General features: G+C 39.4%; 1 protein-coding gene across 3 annotated transcripts in view, besides 1 other annotated feature; it reads left to right on the top strand.

The window, feature by feature from the left end:
• Window positions 1-23,945, top strand: part of NUP153 (nucleoporin 153) — a 91,889-nt gene that overhangs the window by 46,755 nt on the left and 21,189 nt on the right. Inside the window, exons 12-17 of one of the 3 annotated variants that reach the window (NM_001278209.2) lie at window positions 8,245-8,337; window positions 10,871-11,008; window positions 12,266-12,364; window positions 14,017-14,104; window positions 20,107-20,232; window positions 22,401-23,018. In NM_001278209.2, the coding sequence (NP_001265138.1) occupies window positions 8,245-8,337; window positions 10,871-11,008; window positions 12,266-12,364; window positions 14,017-14,104; window positions 20,107-20,232; window positions 22,401-23,018 (1,162 nt within the window). The remainder of the gene's footprint in view (window positions 1-8,244; window positions 8,338-10,870; window positions 11,009-12,265; window positions 12,365-14,016; window positions 14,105-20,106; window positions 20,233-22,400; window positions 23,019-23,945) is intronic. The other 2 variants (NM_005124.4, NM_001278210.2) reach the window with 2 other exon arrangements.
• Window positions 21,227-21,427: a silencer, noted in NCBI's record as "peak5706 fragment used in MPRA reporter construct". NCBI's record gives its function as "represses an SCP1 promoter by STARR-seq MPRAs in K562 erythroleukemia cells {active_cell/tissue: K562}" and the evidence as "EXISTENCE:reporter gene assay evidence [ECO:0000049][PMID:32103011]".

The raw sequence follows: 23,945 nt of genomic DNA, 5'->3' as shown, positions 1-23,945 counted from the left end.
ATTGGTATTTTGCTCTGCAGGTTTGGAGTGTGATGCCTTGCTTCCTTTTAACTATGCTTTTCCTAGCTAGCAGTACTATAGCTCACCAGAATTATGACCTCCTTGGCAGTTTTCACTTTCTGCCATATAAATTGACTTGTAATGAGCTTTGGGATTATGTTAGTAGACTTGGCTCTATTGCTGGTCTGGAGGCTCTGTCTTTCCTTTAGTCTCTGTTTCTCACTCTACTAGAGTGTTGTGAAGGGAGGGAATCTATTACTGTATATCATTATCTGAAAAGGAAATACCTTGAATGCCATTGATCATACAAACAGTATATAAATTTTATAGGTTTTGTAGCAAACCAATTTTCTTTTGTCATTAAAGCTCTTTATTAATTATATTTAAGAAACGGGTTGGCGGCTGGGCACGGTGGCTCATGCCTGTAATCCCAGCACTTTGGGAGGCCAAGGCGGGCGGATCACGAGGTCAAGAGATCGAGACCATCCTGGCCAACATGATGAAACCCCGTCTTTACTAAAAATACAAAAATTAGCTGGGTGTGATAGCGTATGTGTGTAGTCCCAGCTACTCGGGAGGCTGAGGCAGGAGAATCACTTGAACCCTGGAGGTGGAGGTTGCAGTGAGCCAAGATTGCACCAGTGTACTCCAGCCTGGCAACAGAGCGAGACTTTGTCTCAAAAACAAAACAAAACAAAAACAAAAGAAATGGGCTGTCTTACCTTGTGTAAATAAGGAATTTATTAGGTTGGTACAAAAGTAATTGGGGTTTTGGACCATGAATTTTAAATCATTATTTAACTAGGCTCAAACACATCTTTATTGAACAAAACAGGAACCACTACAATCAACACATTTTTGCCAACGAGAAATAAATTTGCTTATTCTTATAGCACAAAAATCTGTGCTTTGGGATTCGACAAGCTCTTGGAAAGCATTTTCTGCATCCCGCTGTTGCGGAAGTGTTTTCCCTGCAAAAAGTTTTCGAGATGCTTGAAGAAGTGATAGTCAGTTGGCGAGAGGTCAGGTGAATATGGCAGATGAGGCAAAACTTTGTAGCCCAATTCCTTCAACTTTTGAAGCGTTGGTTGTGCAGTGTGCCATTGGGTGTTGTTGTAGAGAAGTAGGCCCTTTCGGTTGACCAATGCCAGCTGCAGACATTGCAGTTTTTGGTGCATCTCATTGATTTGCTGAGCAGACTTCTCAGATGTAGTGGTTTCGCTGGGATTCTGAAAGCTGTAGTGGATTAGACCGGCGGCAGACCACCAGACAGTGACCATGGCCTTTTTTTGTGTGCAAGTTTGGCTTTGGAAAGTGCTTTGAAGCTACTTCTTGGTTAACCACTGAGCTGGTCGTAACCGGTTATCGTATAAAATCCACTTTTTGTCCCATGTCTCAATCTGAGAAATGGTTTGTTGTTGCATAGAATAGGAGAAGACGACACTTCAAAACAATTTTTTAAATTTTCACTCAGCTTGTGAGACACCCACTTATTGAGCTTTTTCACCTTTCCAATTTTCTTCAAATGGTGAATGACCATAGAATGGCTAACGTTGAGTTCTTTGGCAACTTCTTGTGTAGTTTAAAAGGATCAGCTTTGATGATTGCTCTCAATTGGTCCTTGTCAACTTCCAGTGACTGGTTATTGTCAACTTCCAGTGGCTGGCCATTATGCTTCTCATCTTCAAGGCTCTCGTCTCCTTTGCAAACTTTGTTTTTTGTTGTTATTGTGTGCTTCTTTGGGTGTTTTGTTTTGTTTTGTTTTGTTTTCTGTTTTGAGACAGTCTTGCTCTGTGGCCCAGGCTGGAGGGCAGTAGCATGATCTCAGCTCACTGCAGCCTCTGCCTCTTGGGTTCAAGCTATTTTTGTGCCTCAGCCTCCCGAGTAACTGTGATTACAGGCATGTGCCACAGGCCCAGCTAATTTTTTGTATTTTTAGCGAGACAGGGTTTCACCATCTTGACCAGGCTGGTCTTGAACTCCTGACAAATGATCTGCCTGCCTCAGCCTCCCAGAGTGCTGGGATTATAGGCGTGAGCCATCACGCCCAGCCTCCTTTGCAAAACTTCTTTAACCACCACTGCACTGTATGTTCATTAGCAGTTCTGGGCCAAATGTGTTGTTGATGTTGGCAAGTTGTCTTTGCTGCTTTACAACCCATTTTGAACTCGAATAAGAAAATCGCTCGAACTTGTCTTTTGTCTAACATCATTTCCACAGTCTAAAATAATATAAAATAAATAGCAAGTAGTAAGTCATCAGCTAAAAAACATAAAGCAAGAAATTTGCATTAAAATGATGTATAATGTAACCACATTTAAGAATGTATTCCAATTATCAAGTGGCAAATTGTTATAATGCAAAACTGCAATTACGTTTGCACCAACCTAATATCTGATTCATATACCATGAGCTTATTTTTTTTGACAAGTTTTTACATTTCCTGGTAAAATCTGTAGCATGTTTTGTGAAGTTTATCTCTGTATGAGGAAAATACAGGTTAGCTTTATTTGCCAGATGATGCATTGTATAGATACTGCTCATTTCCCTTACTGCCTGATGAGCACAGAAGCCAATACCATGGCACCAGGTTTTGTTTTGTTTTTTTTGAGACAGGGTCTCACTCTATTTGTTGCCCAGGCTGGAGTGCACGATCTTGGCTCATGGCACCCTCCACCTCCTGAGTTCAAGTGATTCTCATGTCTCAGCCTCCCAAGTAGCTGGGATTACAGGCATGCACCACCAAGGCTAGCTATTTTTTTTTTTTTTATTTTTTTATTTTTTTATTTTAGTAGAGACGGGGTTTTGCCATGTTGTCCAGGCTGGTCTCGAACTCCTGGCCTTAAGTGATCCCCACCCGCCTTGCTTCCCAAAGTGCTGGGATTACAGGTGTGAGTCACTGTGCCTAGCCAGAAAATAATTTTTAGTATACCGGACAAATAAGAGCAAAATATTATTAATATTAATAAACTGTTCAGTACAGCAAAGTCACACCAAACATGTATCTGCAAGACAGCCAAAACTAAGCTATAAATAATCAACCTGAGCTTCAGCCGAAGATCTCAGAACTTTTATTTTTAAAAACTGAAGCTGAAGGTGAAGCCATGCTCCAAAGAATTAAAGAAATCAGTGGCTAACAGGTATTCTTGAACTTACAAGATGGCAGATAAGAAACAGCTTGCTAAAGCCCTCTCCACTTGCAAGATAACAAAACTGACTGAAATTGGCTGGAACTAATATGACCAACTAGAGTCTGTGCAGACTGAGCTTGCTGACATCACAGCCCAAATTTCCACATTTCATTCCAGCTACTCCAGAATTTGCACATGTGGCCCATAAAGAGGCATGAAGAGACAACTGTGCACGTCGAAGGACTTTTCAGACTTCCTCTTTCCTTCCCCAGAATCTACCCCCTAAACCTTTCCTAATAAACATACTACCTTAAGGCCAATTTGCGGGGAGACAGATTTGAGCTGGACTCCTGTCTTCCTTGTTGGTTATCTAAGTAAAGCTTTCCTTTCTTCAAAAACCTGGTGCCCCCTAAGTTTGGAGGTTTGCTTGAGCCCAGGAGTTTGAGATTAGCCTGAGCAACATGGCAAAACCCCACGTGTACAAAAAAATAACAAAAATTAACCAGGCATGGTGGTTAGCGCCTGTGGTCCCAGCTACCAGGGAGGCTGAAGTGGGAGGATCACCCCAGCTGGGGAGACTCTGTCTTTAAAAAAATAACAAATAAAAAAAACTCCTCTTCACTCATGTTTGTATCACCTCCTCCCCTCTTTGGGCCTCTTCTCTTCATTCTGGCCAACTGCCAATTTTGTGTCACAGGATTCTTCACCCAGTCCTTCCCATCACTGGCTCTGTTCCACCCTGAAGTTATAATGTCCACATTTCTGAGGAAAGAGGTACTAATGTGATGTTGGCCCCACACTTTCTGCCCACCTTGTGGTTTGTTTGTTTATTTATTTGTCAGAGTCTTGCTCTGTCTCCCAGGGTGGAGTGCAGTGGCGCAATCTTGGCTCACTGCAACCTCCACCTCCTGAGTTCAAGCAATTCTCCTGCCTCAGCCTCCTGAGTAGCTGGGATTACAAGCGTACGCCACCATGCCCAGCTAAATTTTGTATTGTTAGTAGAGATGGGGTTTCACCATGTTGGCCAGGCTGGTCTCAAACTCCTGACCTCAAGAGATCCACCCACCTTGGCCTCCCAAAGGGCTGGGATTGCAGGGTTGAACCACTGCGCCCAGCCCTACCTTGTGTTTTATATCTGTATAGAATAGGTTTGGATACACAATTATATAGTTGTTTTGAATGCAGTGCTGCTTGTTTGCATCAGAAGTCAGATATGTTGAGACCACAAATTGTTTCTTTCTTCAGTTATAATTAGTGGGAATTTTTGGTAAAAAATTAAAAGATTGGCTGGTCACGGTGGCTCACACCTGTAATCCCAGTACTTTGGGAAGGCTGAGGCCGGCAGATCACCTGAGGTCAGGAGCTCGAGACCAGCCTGGCCAACATGGTGAAACCCCGTCTCTACTAAAAACACAAAAATTAGCCGGGTGTGATGGCGGGCACATGTAATCCCAGCTACTCGGGAAGCTGAGGCAGAAGAATCGCTTGAACCTGGGAGGGGGAGGTTGCAGTGAGCTGAGATCGTACCACTGCACTCCTGCCTGGGTGACAGATTGAGACTTTGTCTTAAAAAAAAAAAAAGTAATAATAAGATTAAAGTTATTTTTGTGGGGGCGGCATTTTCATGGGCCTTTGGAAGAGTGACATGGAAGAGATTTAGTTTTAATGAAATGTAAACACATTATGCTAACTGATTTCAGATAGTGTTGCTATTTAGCAGGAATGGATGTATTCTGATCCATTAAATTCAGGTTAATAGAACTCTATATGTAAAATTACCCATTTGGAATGATCTTTTACCTTTCACCTTATCCTGGATTCTAAAATGTGCAAGGATTGTAGTCATTAAATATATTGGCCTTTTGCTTTTACTGTCCTACCAATCAATCCATGAGTTTTTTTGTGTGTGTTGTTAAAAAGCTCATTGATACAAAACATGTAGCAGTATACAAAACATGTAGCAGTATATAAGAAGACTTGAGTTTGGAGAGACTTAATTGCTTGCTCTTGTCTTGTATAATCCTGCCACTTACTAGCTGGGTGACCTTGGTCAAATTAACCTCTTGTGTACCTCCTCAGTTTTTTTATCTGTAAAATGGAAATAAGAATAAATATTGTGTTCATGTCTGTAAGATTTCTGCCACTTAATAGCTGTATGGTATTATGCCATATATCTCCCTGCCTTACTTTCTTCATATGTAACAATAGTATCTACCTCATATGAGATAACCCATGTAAGGATATTACAAAGGTATTAGATAGTGAATTGTGAAATGTGTGTTCTACTTGAGATGTCTCTAAGCATCAAGTTAGCAGAATTCTTGGCTTTTTTTTCCTCTTAGATTAGTGGGACCCACTTATGATCTACTAAGTCAAAATTTGGGGGAGTAGAAATCAAATGATAGAATTGGTTCAAGGTCAGCTGGGCGCGGTGGTTCATGCCTGTAATCGCAGCACTTTCGGAGGCCGAGGTGGGCGGATCACGAGGTCAGGAATTCGAGACCAGCCTGGCCAACATGGTGAAACCCTGTCTGTACTAAAAATACAAAAATTAGCTGGGCGTAGTGGCAGGTGCCTGTAGTCCCAGATACTTGGGAGGCTGAGGCAGGAGAATCGGTTGAAACCAGAAGGCAGAGGTTGCAGTGAGCCAAGATCGCACCACTGCAGTCCGGCCCGGGCAACAAGATCGAAACTCCGTCTCAAAAAAAAAAAAAATTGGTTCAAGGTCAGTAATATAAGGAACCAGTGTGGACAAGTGTGTGCCTTAAGGAGTTGGCATGAGAGAGTAGATTATATAGTTGATGTTTTTAGGGTTCTACGCTGGAGGTTGGACAGAGAAGAGAAGCTTCCCTACAAAAATAGCCAGATGCATCTTTTGTTTGTTCCTCCTCCCTCAGTTGATTATGACAAATTTCAAACATGAAATGTTGAAAGAACTGTGCAGCGTATACACACAGTAGCAGTTAGATTCCAACATTTTGTGTTACATTTGCTTTATCAAAAAAGAAAAATTTACCTGTCCATCTTTTTTTATTTTTTGGTGCATTTTAAAGATAGTTGAAGACATTAGTACACTTCACCCCCAAATACGTCAGCATACATAGCGTGAAGTAGAGTTAAATATTTGTTGTTCTTTTTATAACATAGCAAAATTGACATATAGTGAAATGTTAAATTCTTAGGTGTGCCATTTAATAAATTTGACAAATGCTTACATCTGTGTAATGCAAGCCCTATCAAGAGATTGAATATTTCTATCATCCTAGAAATTTCAGTTGTCCTCCTTCTCAGTCAGTTGCCGTCACCTCCTACCCCAGAGGCAATCACTGTTCTCATTTTTTCCACCATGTACTGGTTTCACTTGTTCTGCAACTTCATATAGTTACTCACTATGTATCCTTTTGTCCCTGGCTATTGTGAGTAAAGCTACTAGGAACATTCTTGTTCAGGTCTTTTCGTAAATAAATTTATTTCTCTGGGGTAAATACCTGGAAGAAGAGGTGCTAAGTTGTATGTTTAACTTTCTAAGGAGCCATCATACTGTTTTCTAAAGTGTGCCATTTTATATCCCTCTTAGCAGTGTATGAACATTTTATTTAGTTTGTATCCTTACCAATAGTTGATAGTCATCTTTTAAATTTTAGTCATTCTGGTTTGTGTGTGGTGGTATCTCATTGTAATTTTAATTTGCATTTCCTTGATGACTAATAGTATTGTGTTCTTTTTTATGTGCTCATTGGCCATTTGTGTATCTTTTTTTGTGAGGTGTCTGTTCAGTTCTTTTTTTGAGATGGAGCCTCGCTCTGTCGCCCAGGCTGGAGTGCAGTAGCACGATCTTGGCTCACTGCAGCCTCCACCTCCCAAGTTCAAGCAACTCTCCCGTGTCAGCCTCCCAAGTGGCTGGGATTACAGGCGGACACTGCCATGCCCGGCTAATTTTTTATATTTCATTAGAGACAGGGTTTCACCATGTTGCCCAGGCTGGTCTCAAACTCCTGAGCTAAGGCAGTCCACCCGCCTCGGCCTACCAAATGCTAGGCTGGAGTACAATGGCGTGGTCTCAGCTCACTGCAACCTCCGCCTCGTGGGTTCAAGTGATTCTCCTACCTCAGTCTCCCTAGTAGCTGGGATTACAGGTGTGCGCCACCACGCCCAGCTAATTTTTTTTTTTGTATTTTTAGTAGAGATGGGTTTCACCATGTTGGTCAGGCTGGTCTCGAACTCCTGACCTTAGGTGATCCACCTGCCTTGGCCTCCCAGAGTGCTGGGATTACAGGCCATGAGCCACCGCACCCAGCCAGCTGTCTTCTTACTGAGTTTTAGGAGGTCTTTATAAATTTTGGACCTAGGTACTTTGTCAGATACATTTCTTAACAAATATTTTTTTCCCAGTGTTGCTTGCCTACTCATTTTCTTAATGATATCTTTTGATTGGCAGATGTTCTAAATTTTATGAAGACTGGATTTTTTTTTCTAATATTTTTATTCTTCTTTGTGTCCTAAGAAAATTTTGCCTATCCCCGGGCTACAAAGATAGTTTCCTGTGCTTGCTTCTAGAAGCATTGTAATTTTGCTTTTATAGTTTTTCTAATTTCTTTTGATTTTTGTATTTGACCCATGGATTATTTAGAAATGTATTGAATTTCCTAATATTTGGGGGGGAGGGTATTGATTTCTAATATAATTTCATTGTGATTAGAAAAAGATTGAGATTATGACTTCAGTGTTTTGAAATGTATTGAGACTTGTTTTATAGTTCACTGTATGGTCTGCTTGATAATTCTTAAAGAAAATATATTCTGTAGTTGTTGGGTATAGTGATCTGTAGAAGTAAGCTGATAGTATTAGATCTTTGTTCTTATTCATTTTTCATGGGGAGGGAGGGTATGGTTAGCCTGTTAAATTATTGAGAGATGGGGGTTAAAATTGCCAACTTTTATTTGGTGAATTTGTCTTATCCCCTTGGTTATTTATTTATTTATTTATTTTTGAGATGAGATGTCACTCTGTCACCCAGGCTGGAGTGCAGTGGCGTGGCCACCTGAGCCTCCCAAGTAGCTGGGACCACAGGCATGTGCCATCATACCTCGCCAATTTTTAAAATTATTTGTAGAGACAAGGTCTCACCGTATTGCCCAAGCTGATCTCGAGCTCCTGCGCTCAAGCGATCATCCCATCTTGGCCTCTCAAAGTGCTGAGATTACAGGTATGTGCTACCATGCCTAACCTCAATTTTTGTTTCATGGATTTTGAGGCCCTCATGAGAGCATACACTTTACATTTATTCTATGGCTCCATAGTGATTTGTCCTTTTAATATTATTAAGTGTCCTTTTAAAAAAAACTTTTGGAAATATTTTTTGTCTTGAAATCTACTTTGGTATTAATACAGCCACTCTTACTGGAATAAGCCTTCTTATGCTTAGTAGTTTCAGGGCATATCTTTTTCCATTCATATACTTTGAGCCTGTCCATGTTTATATTTAAAGTAGGTCTCAGGTAAACAACATATAACTGAGTTTTGCCTTTCTGTCCATTTTCTGTGTTTTAATTGGAACACCAAATCCATTTATAGTTAATATAATTTTTGATATGGTTGGAATGAGGGCTATCATTCATCCACTGTTTTCTGTTGTTCCTTTTGAAAGCTGCCATTTGGGGGTTAAGGGAATATTTATTATTTAATTATTTAATATTTATTATTATAATTCTGTTTTTATTGGTTTTGTTTTTGTTTTTTGAGATGGGTTCTTGCTGTCACCCAGGATGGAGTGCAGTGGCACAGTCATGGCCCACTACAGCCTCGAACTCCTGGACTCAGGCCATTCTCCCACCTCAGCCTCCCAGGTACTGGGACTACAGGCATGCCACTGCACCTGGCTAGTTTTTTGTTTGTTTAGTTTTTATAGAGACGGGGTCTTGCTGTGTTGCCCAGACTGGTCTCGAACTCTTGGCCTCAAGCTGTCCTGCCTTGGCCTCCCAAAGTGCTAGGATTACAAGTCATTTTAATTTATTTGTTAGATTTTTAACTCTCCCTCTTTTGCACTATTTAGTGGTTTCTCTTGGGATTTCTGTGTCTTCCATAATGTTTTTCAGATTACTTTATGTTACTTTCATACCACATCCTGTAAAAATAACAAGATTGCAGCTGTGTAGTTAGATTTACTACCTGTCTTCCCTGGCATTTATGCTGTACTTACTTGTATTACATCTGGAGAGGCTGTAAATTCAATGTGTACTTTTTGCTTTATATAGTTAAATATATTTTAAGGAAATTAAGAGAAAAAAGTTTTTGTTTGCTCACATATTCCTCATGTCTTTCTGAAATCTGAATTTTCATTTGGTAACATTTCCTTTCAGCATGAAGAACTTGTAGAGCAGGTTTTATAGAAGTAGATTCTTTGTTTTATCTGGAAGTGCCTTTATTTTGCTTTGGGCTTTTGGATCAATTTTATTGAGCTGTGATTTATTTGCAATAAACTGCATCCATTTGAAGTATTCAAATTATTTTAGCTGGCAATGGACTTCTCTGAACTCATTCTGTCTCCCCTGTGGTAGGCAGCAGCTGAAACTTTTTAGTTTTCTTTGGCAGCTTGGAGTCTGCCTTACAGCTGTGTAGTTTACAGGTCCACCAGAGATTCGGGTGGCTTATATGTAGACTTTGAGGTTCCCTTTCTGTGGCTCTTCATTTCTGCATCTCACCTCCTTTTCTGGCTGATTGTTCAGTTAACACGTTTGCTGTTTTCTCTCAGAACTTCAGGTATTCAGTGGCAGCAACTCATGAAGAGAACAGGAAGCTTACTCAGTGCCCTTCCCATTTTCCAAGTGTCCTCTCCCATCCAGTTTCTTCTTGCTTTTGGTTGCTCTTGTGCCTTCAGATGATTGTTTCTTTATACTTTTTTCCAGAGTTTATCATATATCTAAACGTTTATCAGGTAGAAGCTACTCTGCGTTTAGCACAAGTGGAACTCATTTTGTTTGTTCTTTATCTAGGGATCATTGGAGACTTAGGGTGCTCTTTGTTCAGTTGGGTTAAAAATCAAAGTGGCTCTCCAGACTCCTCAGTACTGACAGTTACTAAATGCTTGTTTCACATGCCAAGACCATATAATGCTCCCCCTCACCCCCTTATCTGCAAGGGATATGTTCCAAGAATCCCAGGTCATACCTGAAACTGCAGATAATATTGAACCCTGTATATACTGTGTTTTTTCTTATACATACATATCTATGATGAAATTTAATTTATAAGTAGGCACAGTCAGAGATTAACAACAACAATAAAATAGAACAATTATAACACTATAATGTAATAAAGGTTATATGAATGTAGTCTCTTTCTCTCTCAAAATATCTTATTGTATATAATATCTTTGGATCATGGTTGACCATGGGTCAGGGAAACTGGAAATTGAAACCATGGATAAGGTAGGCTACTATATATAACTTTATGTTTCATATTAGTACAACTGTAGTATATCGTAAGAATTACTATCTTTTTTCCCTCAGTTTTACCAATTAGGAAATTGGTACAGAAGGCAGTTAGGTTCCCCAAGTCAAATGGCTGGTTGGTGGCACAGCTGGGATTAAAAATCATGTTCAGTTTTTCTGATTGAAGAACCCATAATGTTAACACTACATGGTACCATCTTCTTCCTGTATACTTTCATGCTGAAAATAAGTAGAGATAAAAGAATGATGTGAAAGATGAAATATATCATGCAACATGTTATGTTTTAGGAAATGGAAGTTCCAGTATTACCGAAAATCTCTCTACCGATCACCAGTTCTTCACTGCCTACCTTTAATTTTAGTTCCCCTGAGATCACAACTTCCTCTCCATCACCCATCAATTCGTCTCAAGCATTAACAAACAAGGTACAAAACCATTATATAAATACAGGTGACATTTGTTCTTTCTTAATTCTTTATTTAAAAAAAACCCTATATTATAAACAGTGTTTAATTTTCATTATGGAAATTAATAACATAGTAAACAGAGAAATGGAAATGCTGTTTTGCTTTTTTAAAAAAATGTACAAATATCTTGGATACATTATAATGGAGTGTTCCTCAACTCTTATGCAATACCATAGAGAAGGATATTCTTGTAAATTTGTTTCCAAATAATGTTTCCAGTAAGATGCTTTTTGGGTAGGAGTGCACTCAATGTTTCATGTTTTTACTTCTCAGCTAGGCGTAACATCTTTTAATGTGCTCCTGAATTTTTTTTTTTTTGAGATGGTGTCTCGCTGTATTGCCGAGGCTAGAGAGCAGTGGTGCAATCACAGCTCATTGCAGCTTCCATCTCCTGGGCTCAAGTGATCCTCCCACCTCAGCCTCCTGAGTAGCTGGGACTACAGGTGTACACCACCACACCCAGCTAATTAAAAAAATTTTTTTTTAAATATTTATTTATTTTTTCAGCTTGAGTCTCGCCCTGTCACCCAGGCTGGAGTGCAGTGGCACGATCTTGGCTCACTGCAACCTCCACCTCCCGGGTTCAAGTGGTTATCCTGCCTCAGCCTCCTGAGTAGCTGGGATTACAGGTGCGCACCACCATGCCCGGCTAATTTTTGTATTTTTAGTAGAGACAGGGTTTCACCATGTTGGTTAGGCTGATCTTGAACTCCTGACTTCAGGTGATCCGCCTGCCTTGGCCTCCCAAAGTGCTAGGATTACAAGCGTGAGCCCCCACTCCTGGCCAAAAAATATTTTTATGGGTGAGGTCTTGCTGTGTTACCCAGGCTGGTCTTGAAATCTTGCGTTCAAGCAATTCCCTCTGTCATGGCTTCCCAAAGTGCTGGGATCACAGGTGTGAGGCACTGTACCTGGCCTGCTCCTGAAATTTTAATACTTGCTTTCTTGCTTTCACTTCTTCTGAACATATTCTTATAGATGTTACTTTACTTTTTTATACAAATATCCACCTCTAAGATTGTGTGTACTCCTTAGAGGAAGCCACATTTTATAACACAGTTCTGTGTTTTTCAGAATTTAAAGTGAGATTTTTAAATTTAAAAGGAAAAAATACTTAGTGTCTTTGGAATAATCAGTTTGCTTAATGTCTTTTTTGTCACTTTATTTTTCTAAAAAGCTCTTTTTGTATCATTTCTTAATAATTTGGAAAACCAGGTACAAATGACCTCTCCGAGCAGCACTGGCAGTCCCATGTTTAAATTTTCATCTCCAATCGTAAAATCTACTGAGGCAAATGTACTACCTCCATCATCTGTAAGTAACAAGCAAGGAATAGTATATATTTACTGATTTCAAAGCCATGTTATATTTTTATCAAATCTAAGATGCCACTGGTGGTGAGAAACACTGTTATTTTTCTTCCAACTTAAAAAATACTCTGTGTAAAAAACTTTTGAACAATCATGTATTCTTCACTACATAATGTACATATGTATGCATATTCATTTTCTTCTGTACCATTTGAAAGTTAAAATGCAAACAACTGGATTTCCTTAATTCTTCTCCATGTGTCCCTTAAGAAAAAAGACATTCCTTTGCATCCCCACAATACAGCTATCATACCCAAGAAATTTGACATGATATAATAACGACATGGTCCATATTCAGATTTCCCCATTATCCCCAGACTGTCCTTTAATTGCTGTTTTATTTCTGTTGGTCCTAGAGCCAATTAAAGACTAGGACCTAATCAACTACATGATATTGCATTTAGTTAAAACATGTGTCTTGATTTACCTTTAATCTAGAAAAGTTCTGGGCATTTTTTTCTTTCATGATTGAAAAGTGAATGTTTGGGGTAAGAATAACACGTAGTTTAATATTCAAATTGCCCCAGATTTGGCATGTTTATATTATTTTAATATGTCATTTTCTAGTTTTGACTGTGTCCTTGTCTTCTGACACAAGTAGATGTTACAGATCAAATGTAATTTCCTTGCCACATGCTGAAATCCATCAGTTGCCCCAGAAGTGTCATACTTTTTATTAGAAAATGGCATTTGAGGCCGGGCACGGTGGCTCATGCCTGTAATCCCAGCACTTTGGGAGGCCGAGGCAGGTGGATCACTTGAGGTCAAGAGTTCGAGACCAGCCTGACCAACATAGTGGAACCTCGTCTCTACTAAAAAAAAAAAAAAAAAAGAAAATACAGAATTAGCCAGGCATGGTGGTGCACGCCTATAATCCCAACTACTCAGGAGGCTGAGACAGGAGAATTGTTTGAACCTGGGAGGTAGAGGTTGCAGTGAGCCGAGATTGTGCCGTTGCACTCCAGCTCAGGCAACAAGAGTGAAACTCCACCTCAAAACAAAAAAAAAAGGAAAGAAAATGGCATTCAGAAATTGGAACTGGGCATTAGGAACACACCATCATTATTTTATATACTGTTTTGAAAGAAAAAGTGCCTGAGAAATTTAAAATGCTGCCTGTTAAACTGTGACATTGCCATTCAATATAAGAATCTCACTTTTAGAGATAGTGAAATATTATAAACTATATCTTAAAATAGGTGAAAGTATGTTTTTGACTTGGGATAAAAATAACCTCTATATTTGGGCCAGGCGCGGTGGCTCACGCCTGTAATCCCAGCACTTTGGGAGGCCGAGGCGGGCGGATCACAAGGTCAGTAGATCGAGACCATCCTGGCTAACACAGTGAAACCCCATCTCTACTAAAATACAAAAAATTAGCCGGGTGTGGTGGCGAGTTCCTGTAGTCCCAGCTGCTCGGGAGGCCGAGGCAGGAGAATGGCGTGAACCCGGGAGGCGGAGGTTGCAGTGAGCCAGGATTGCGCCACTGCACTCCAGCCTGGGCGACAGAGTAAGACTCCGTCTCGGGGGAATAAAAAAGCTCTATATTTGATACTTATTGAAAACGAAGTATAAGGATATTCTTTCTCTTTACAGATTGGATTTACATTTAGTGTGCCTGTTGCAAAAACAGCAGAACTTTCTGGTTCTAGTAGTACTTTAGAACCAATTATAAGTAGTTCAGGTAAGTAAAAATTTCTTACATTTTAACATACAAACAATTGCATACAGTAGATTAGTATTTCAGCTTCTTTCACCTTTGGTAATTCTTATAAATGCCTTCATTTGGATGAAATTAGCTCTGAAAAGCAAGCAGGCACTATTATTTAACCTTTTTGACGGTGCTTTTTATTAATTATCTTTAGAGATACTTAGCTCCTTAAATGGAAGTGTCAGTTTGGTTTTGAGAGAGATAGGCATGGTAGCAAATTTATCCACTATCTTTGTTTAGTCAAAACAAGGTGACAAGTTAGTTATAAAGCAAGTCTCATTATAAGAAATTTATAGGTTGTCTACATTATAGTTGTAGTAGATTTTATTTCTAGTTTTTACCTTTCAGTTCACAAGCATTTTTATGTATAAAGGTTATGCAGGCCCATGTAGATTGTGATACATAATTTCTGAACCGAAGAAATCAGCATCATTGAAGGAAGGAGGCCATGGGTCATTCCTGTAAACCCAGCAGTTTGGGAGGCTGTGGTGGGAGGATTGCTTGAGGCCAGAAGCTCAAGACGATCCTAGGCAGCACAGTGAGACTCATCCCTACCGAAAAAAAAAAAAAAAGAAAAAGAAATAACCAGGTGGTGGTGTGAGCCTGTAGTCCCAGCTACCTGGGATGCTGAAGTGGGAGGATTGCTTGAGCCCAGGAATTCAAGGCTACAGTGAGCTATGATTGCACTACCACACTACAGCTGGCTGACAGAGCAAGACCCTATCTCAAAAAAAAAGAAAGAAATGAATGAATAATCAGAGAATTAAAACATAGAATTCTTTTTTTTTTTTTTTTTTGAGACAGAGTCTCGCTCTGTTGCCCAGGCTGGAGTGCAATGGCACGGTCTTGGCTCACTGCAACCTCTGCCTCCCGAATTCAAACGATTTCTCCTGCCAGTAGCTTGGATTACAGGTGCCTGCCACCCTGCTGGCTACTTTTTTTTTCTTTTAATTGTGAGACGGAGCCTTGTTGTGTCCCCCAGGTTGGAGTACAGTGGCGTAATCTTGGCTCACTGCAACCTCCGCCTCCCAGGTTCATGCCATTCTCCTCCTCAACCTCCCGAGTAGCTGGCACCACAGGCGCCTGCCACCACGCCTGGCTAATTTTTTTGTATTTTTAATAGAGACAGGGTTTCAACATGTTAGCTCGGATGGTCTCGATCTCCTAACCTCGTGATCTGCCTGCCTCGGCCTCCCAAAGTGCTGGGATTACAGGCGTGAACCACCGCGCCCTGCCCCTGGCTAATTTTTTGTATTTTTAGTAGAGAGGTGTTTCACCACGTTTGGCCAGGCTGGTCAGGAACTCCTGTCCTCAGGTGATCTGCCCACCTTGGCCTCCCAAAGTATTGGGATTACAGACGTGAGCCACTGTGCCTGGCCGAATTTGTTTTTTTATAATGGTGGTTTTCTTTTAAGTGTTTGGGAAAATCAGAAACACCTGAGCTGAGTTACTCAGGTCAAGAATTTTGAGCAAGGGCATTTTACCCAAGAAATATAAACACAAAGCTCAAGGGCACAGGAACAAGAGAAAAAGCATGACACGCTTTAGAATTGCAAACAATTTGTCATGAGGTTGGAGAGGTAGCTTTAAATCCTAAAAGTTCTGGAATGCTATGCTAATGAATTGGATTTTATTCTGACTGCATTAGGGAGATGTTGAATGATTTTTACTTGGGGGTGAGATGGATGTGAGTATAGTGATAGCAGTGTGGTGAGTGCTAGTGTGGGTTGGAGTGGCATGTTAGAGGCAGAAACATGAGTTGGGAGATATTACCTTATCGAAAAGCGTTTCTTCAATGATCTTCTGAGTTTGGGAATTTTTAAAAACTAGATCCTCAAAAGATAGATTAAAAAATAAAAAGAGTCAGGACATAGAAGCTAAAGAAATATCTTTGGCTTTGAATGGTCTTGAAGATAAGAGGCCAGATTATGGAAGTGGCCCAAACTAAGAATTTGACTGGTATGTTTGCAACCTTATCTTTTTTTTTTAATTGGCTAACACAGCCTTACGTAATAGAAATTAATAAGGAATTTCCATTGTGTTTCCTGTCACAAAAGTTTTTTTTCTTTAATGTTAACTATTAATTCAAGAGGATTAAATTTCTTCAAATTACCAATTTCATGACTTATTATGAGGAAAGGCATTAAAATGTTTCCCACTATTTGCTAATGCTTTACTAATGATAACTGAATAATTAACAATTTGTTACAACAACTTTGTTTCATTATATCTCAGGAAGTTACCCAGATTTTTAAGGAGTCGATTATGAGTGGCCTATTTAGAGTTGTGTGTTCTCACTTTGACACCGTTGGTTCTCACCACTTCTATCATTTAAAAAAGCTAATTGAAAATGTGGAAGTCATGATTACTTTGTGACAGGAGCTAAGTTTTCCATTGTCTCCTTTTCCCCTCTTTTTGAGCATACTTTAGGGAATCCTAACATTTTACCGTAAATTACTAAAAGCAATTTAACTTTCATTATAAAGGAAGATAGAACGTGATTAAATTATAAGTTTGTTTTGGCATAGTTGTACGAGTGGTGGTTATTTTTGGTGGGGATGGTTGGGGGTGGGTGTTGCACATTCTGTCACCCAGGCTGGAGTGCAGTTGCACAATCTCAGCTCACCGCAACCTCCGTCTCCTGGGTTCAGGCGATTCTTGTGCCTCAGCCTCCCGAGTAGCTGTGATTACAGGCACCTGCCACCATGCCTGGCTAATTTTTGTATTTTTAGTAGAGAAGGGGTTTCGTCATGTTGCCAGGCTGGTCTTGAACTCCTGACCTCAGGTGATCTGGCCGCCTAGGCGTCTCAGAGTGCTGGGATTACAGGTGTGAGCCACCGCGTCCAGCCTATATTTTTGTTATTGTGATGAAGTTGACATGATACAGCCATTTTAAAGGGAATAATTCAGTGGCCTTTAGTACCTTGACAGCGTTGTGCAGCCACCACTTTTTATCTAGTTCCAAAACATTTATCACCCTCACCAGGAAACCCCTGTCCATTAAAAAGTTGCTCCCCATTCTGCCTTCCCCCTAGCTAACTGTCAACTTGTGTTCTGTCTCTATGGATTGACTTATTCTGAATATGTCATGTAAGTAGAATCATACAATGTGGCTTCGTACAGCTGAGTTCTTTCACTTAGCACAGTGGTTTCAAGGTTCTTATGTCTCAATACTTCATTCCTTTTATGGCTGAATAATATTCCATTGTATTGATGTGCCACAGTTTATTTTTGTTCATCCATTAATGGACATTTGGGCTGTTTCCACCATTTGGCTATTGTGAATAGTGCTGCTGTGAACATATGTGTATGTGTATTTGTTTGAGTACTGGTTTCAATGCTTTTTCATATGTGCCTAGGAATGGAATTGATGGGTCAGATGGTAGTTCTGTATTAAACTTTTTGAAGAATCACTAAACTGTTTTCCACAGTAGTTGAACCATGTCACATTACCATTAGCAGTATACAACTTCACCAACACTTAGTATTTTCTCTTTTTTGACTATAGCAATCCTAGTGGATGTAAAGTAATACTTTGTTGTAGTTTTGATTTGCATTTCCCTAATGCAAATGATGTTGCATTTTTTTCAGGTGCTTATTGTCCATTTAAATATCTTAGGGAGGAATGCCTTTCACGTCCTTTACCCATTGAACAGTTTGTCTTTTTGTTACTGAGTTATAAGAGTTCTTAGTCTGGACACTAGACCCTTACCAGATACGTGATTTGCAGATATTTTTTCCCATTTATAGATTGTCTTTTCACTTTCTTGATAATTTCCTTGAATGGACAGAGGTATTTAATTTTGATGAAGTCCATTTTTTTCTTCTGTTGCTGTGCTTTTCGTGTCATATCTAAGAATACATTGCCAAATCCATGGTCTTGAAGCTATACTCCCTAGGTTTTCTTCTAAGAGTTTTATGGTGTTTATGTCATATTTAGGATATTGATCCATTTTGAATTTTTGTTTATTGTGTGAGGTAGGGAAAGGTTTTTTTCAAAAGTACTTTACCTACTACTTTTTAAATTGGCAAACACTTAAAAAGAAAAACTTGGTTATTAGTATATTTCATTATGGAAAACTTGATTCTCAGAAGTAGAATTGTAGACTGAATCCCCATATACTATTTAGCCAGCTTCAACTTTTACCATTTTGACCCATCTTGTTTCTTTTTCTTTCTTCTTTTTTTCTGAGACAGTCTCGCTCTGTCTCCCAACCTGGAGTGCAGTTGTGCAAGCTCGTTTCACTGCAAGCTCCACCTCTCAGGTTCACTCCATTTTGCCTCAGCCTCCTGAGCAGCTGGGACTACAGGCGCCTGCCACCACGCCCGGCTAATTTGTTTTGTATTTTTAGTAGAAACGGGGTTTCACCATGTTAGCCTGGGTGGTCTCGATCTCCTGACCTCGTGATCTGCCTGCCTCAGCCTCCCAGAATGCTGGGATTACAGGCGTGAGCCACCGCTGCCTGGCCTTTTTGTTTGTTTGTTTGTTTGTTTTGTTTTGTTTTTGAGACGGAGTCTCGCTCTGTCACCAGGCTGGAGTACAGTGGCACGATCTTGGCTCACTGCAACCTCCGCCTCCCAGGTTCAAGCAATTCTCCTGCCTCAGCCTCCTGAGTAGCTGAGACTACAGGTGTGTACCACCACACCCAGCTACTTTTTGTATTTTTAGTGGAGATGGGGTTTCACTATGTTGGCCGGGATGGTCTCCATCTCTTGACCTCGTGATCTGCCCGCCTTGGCCTCCCAAAGTCCTTGGGATTACAGGCACGGGCCCCCGTGCCTGGCCGCATCTTGTTTCTTATTGTTTCTTTTGTTCCATCCCTCCTCTCCCCATCCCACACAGAAACTTACATGTCAGGTCACTCTTCAACAATCCCAAACATCTTAGTTTTATCTGTAAATAGAAATCGCCCCTTAAAAATATAACGATAAAACCATTATCACACTGAAAATGTAGATCTCTAAATACAAGGATGCAAGTTTAGAAAGCATAAAAAGTAAAAGCAGTAAGTCACTCATCTTACTGCTAGCAGCTACCATTACTCTTTAGATGTAAACATTCTAGACTTTTCAACCTGCTTTTACCCATAACTACACTTTTAAGAATGATTTTTGTGGGCCAGGCATGATGACTCATGCCAGTAATGCCAGTGCTTTGGGAGGCCGATGTGGGAGGATCACCTGAGGCCAGGAGTTTAAGACCAGTCTGGCCAGCCATAGTGAGACCCCATGTCTACAAAAAAGTAAAAAAAAAAATGAGCTAGATGTGGTGGCATGCGCCTGTGTTCCTGGCTACTTGAGAGGCTAAGGTGGGAGGATTGCTTAAGCCCAGGAGTTTGAGGATGCATTAAGCTATGATTGCACCACTGTACTCCGGCCTTGCTGACAACAAGACACTCACTCTCTGTTTTGAAAAAGAATGATTTCTGTGGCTGCATAAGTATTTCATCATGTCACTGTTATGTAATTTATGTAACCATATACCCTTATTTAATATTTTACCATATAGGTTTTCAATATTATAACTGAAGGATATTTTCAATTATATTAATAGTGTGAATTTCTAAAAATGAAATAATTGCTCAGTTGAAAATTACTTTTTTTGATTAGTTTTGTAAATTGTTGTGTAATCAGATATTTCATGCAGTGGATGGGCTTGCCCTAGTTGCCATATCCTCTCCAGTTTTTTAGTTTGATTGTTTTGATTATCAGTCAGTTAATTGGACGATAATTATAGTTTATATTTTTTTGCCTTTTTATTGGTGGGGGAAGTTATATAGTATGGGAATAGTGTTTTTATCTCCTTGTAATGGCAAATTATCCCTGTAAAGTCATTTGTTTATTGAATTAAAGTGACTTTTTTCATGAACTTTTAGAAATTAATCCAAAAGATGGTTTTGAAAGATTTTTAAAAATGCATTTGAGAGTCCAGTGTTTTATTTGGCATAATGTTATTAAATTTAAAAAAATTACAGCTCATCATGTCACTACAGTGAACAGTACAAATTGTAAGAAGACACCACCTGAAGATTGTGAGGGTCCTTTTAGACCTGCAGAAATCCTGAAAGAAGGAAGTGTTCTAGATATTCTGAAAAGCCCTGGTAAGATAATTAAAAGATAAGCCTTTTGATTACAAACTCATGATCTCAATTTAATGTCATTTTGTATTATACTTTAGGCTTTTAAAAATTTCTGACTAGTTTGGTAGGAGATTTACTTTTGAATAGAGATGTAGTTAGGTGTAATTCTTTTGCTGGAAATATCTTACAAGCCAAAGGACTCTATACTAAAATGAAATTTCTAATAGGCAAGTGTAGGAGGAGGAAATGGATTCTCCATTAATAGAGGTAGGTCAGTGAGGAATAAGAGTAAGTAAACCTGATGATACACATAGACATGTCTTTCTCTTATGAGAGCACTGAACTGCCTTCTTGAATTATTCCCCAGTTTGGTAAATATGGAACAAGGCCAAGTGGAAAGCATCTGCTGAATTGTAACATATACATAGGGAGCAGTACTCACTTGAATTGAAGCAAGATTTGAAAGCTAGTAGGTAATAATTAGAAAGGGGATAAATAGTTCTCAGATAAGAATAATTTTTTGTTTGAAAACAGGATGTTCATAATTCCATTTATGATACATAGTATAAGAATGTAAAACTTGCCAGGCGCGGTGGCTCACCCTTGTAATCCCAGCACTTTGGGAGGCCAAGACGGGCAGATCACTTGAGGCCAGGAGTTGAAGACCAGCCTGGCCAACATGGCGAAACCCCATCTCTATTAAAAAGAGAAAAAATTAGCTGGGCGTCCTGGCATGCACCTGTAGTTCCAGCTACTCGGGAGGCTGAGGCAGGAGAATTGCTTGAACCTGGGAGGTGGAGGTTGCAGTGAACCGAGATCGAACCACTGCACTCCAGCCTGGGCGACAGAGCAAGACTCTGTCTTTAAAAAAAAAAGAAAGGAAAAGAAAAAAAGAATAAAAGAATGTAAAACTGTGAGATAATCTAATAGCTCAGAAAGAATTTAAACGTACCCACCAGATGTGTCCATGTGTAATAAGATAGGTTTTCTTAAAAAATAAGGTTGGCTTTTACAACAGGATTTAGGAGGATTCAATTTTTCTGGTCCAGCTCTCTCATTTTATAGATAAGTATACTGCCTACAGGAGTCCAGTAGCTTGGACAGTTCCATGCAGTTATGGTAGAACTCCAGAGTGCTTGTGCTGGAATTAACCAAGTAGTAGGCAAGCCTCAAATGTGTATAGTCTGTCTTGTGTATCTGGGGTTACACTTTGCATTCATGATGCCAACCTCCCCCTGCTCCCTTTTTACTTCTTAAATAGGAAATGTTTGGGGAGAATCTTCATTTGACTGAAATTAGGAAAATCTGAAAAAGTAGAAGAAAAAGAAATCTGTAATGCCTTGAGATGGTTACTGTTAATATCTTGCCAATCTTAGTGATTTAAATTAATCATAAGCAAAATAACACGTTGCCCACTGGGAATAACTCAAGCATGTGGTATTTTGTCCTTAAGCTAAAAATAGCTCTAGGCTGGATTATTTTGTGGAACTAGAAAACCTCTAATAACCTTCTACATCTTCTCTCCTTTTAATTTCTTTTTCTTTGGCGGGTAAGGCTGGAGAAACAGATCACAGATGGTGGTGTTGTGTGTAAGACAAAAGTTAACTGGTCCTAAGTAAACAATTACAAAAGTCATTCTCATGAGTAAAATACAGCTTGAGTGAATGAACTCAATGACAGCAGTTTTGGTAACAGAAGGACTTGCTCAGCTGATTTTACTGAAGGTAGAGAATACCACAGCAGTAGGTTATGACTGGACAAAATTCAAAGATGACATTGAAGCCATTTGGTGTAGCCAATGGAACACTTAAAAGAAGAAATGGATGAAGGAGAAAGAGGACTGCGAGTATTGTGTGTTTGTAGAGAGACAGAATATAGCAAAATGTGGATGGCAATAATACATATCAGTAAATTAGTACCATTGAAAGCATCAAACTAGAAATTCCTTGAAGGAGAAGGTGATATCCTGTAAACAAAACATCTTTTGTAGAATTTTAAATGGTTTAAGTGTAACTTATTAGGTAATTGATAAATATGATTACTTAAGTGAAAAACAATTCTTAAGTAGTTCATCTTGGATTGTAGTAAGTGTGCAGTGAGGTAAACGTCTTCTCAGTAATAATAATCAAATTAATGCTTTGATTTATAAAGCTTCTCTAACGTTGCACTCTCTCCTTCGTTCATTGTAGGTTTCGCATCGCCGAAGATAGATTCTGTTGCTGCTCAGCCCACCGCAACAAGCCCAGTAGTTTATACAAGACCAGCAATAAGTAGCTTTTCTTCTAGTGGAATTGGGTTTGGGGAGAGTTTAAAAGCTGGGTCATCATGGCAGTGTGATACATGTCTACTCCAGAACAAAGTTACAGACAACAAATGCATAGCCTGTCAAGCAGCAAAATTGTCACCCAGAGATACTGCTAAACAGACTGGAATTGAAACACCAAATAAAAGTGGCAAAACAACTCTTTCTGCATCAGGGACAGGCTTTGGAGACAAATTTAAACCAGTGATAGGCACTTGGGATTGTGATACCTGTTTAGTGCAAAATAAACCTGAAGCAATAAAATGTGTAGCCTGTGAAACACCGAAACCTGGAACTTGTGTGAAGCGAGCCCTTACATTGACAGTGGTTTCGGAAAGTGCTGAGACTATGACTGCTTCATCTTCCAGCTGCACTGTAACCACTGGTACCTTAGGATTTGGAGATAAATTCAAAAGGCCCATTGGATCTTGGGAGTGTTCAGTATGCTGTGTTTCTAATAATGCAGAAGACAATAAGTGTGTGTCCTGTATGTCTGAGAAACCAGGTATGTTTTTGGCTTTATGGAGTAATTTTGCTTATTACTTCTGTTGAACAGTTTAATTTATTCTAAGAATCCTTGTTTTAGATGTTTCAGGATGAGCATTTCTCATACATATTAATTTTTCTAAACTATCTTGAGGTAAAAATGTCTTGTTTGCAGCTAGATCTTTATGTTCAGTTAGGATAGGTTATGTGTTAACTAGTCTGGTATATATGACGACCTCCTCTTTTTGTACAGTTTTATCAGAAATTTCTTGTTCAAAGTTGACTAATACAGATTCTGAAAGATCTTAGAATGGGGTAATATTTCTCAAACCTTTGTACAGAGTAAAATATTACTTCTCCAAATAGAAATCAGGATAGCTAGTGGTCATTTACAGGGAAGGTTTCTTTAGGGGGTAGACTATAGTCGTTAATGAAAAGGCTGTAGCTGTTGCAATGATTGTAAATTACCAAATCACTAATTCTAATCTAGGCAGCCAGAAACATGGAGTTAGTTTTGAGTTTTTTCTGTTTCTCTGTTCAAAGTTGGAAGAATTAGTGAAGATTCATATTGAATCTTTAACTCATCCAGAAGTGGATGATGGTTTTGTAATATTATATAATTATATGGTACAGATGTATGATAACATGGATATCCTGGGAATTACACTGTTTTCAATGCATTATTCATGAATATGCAGTTTTGTGTCTGTAATGTACAGCTCTGAGTTACTAACCTAGACCTTTTGCCTGAGCCCTCATGCCATATTTCTGATTCCTACTGGATATTTCCCTATGAGTAAGATTTTAGAATCTTCATTCCTTTTTTTTTTTTTTTTTGAGACAGAGTCTCACTGTGTCACCCAGGCTGGAGTGCAGTGGCACAATCTTGGCTCACTGAGACCTCCATCTCCCAGATGCATGCAATTCTTGTGCCTCAGCCTCTCAA

Source organism: Homo sapiens, chromosome 6, assembly GCF_000001405.40.
Source record: "Homo sapiens chromosome 6, GRCh38.p14 Primary Assembly".
Taxonomy (NCBI): domain Eukaryota; kingdom Metazoa; phylum Chordata; class Mammalia; order Primates; family Hominidae; genus Homo; species Homo sapiens.
The sequence above is the reverse complement of the archived record's forward strand: the minus strand, read 5'-3'. Positions and strand labels throughout refer to the sequence as shown.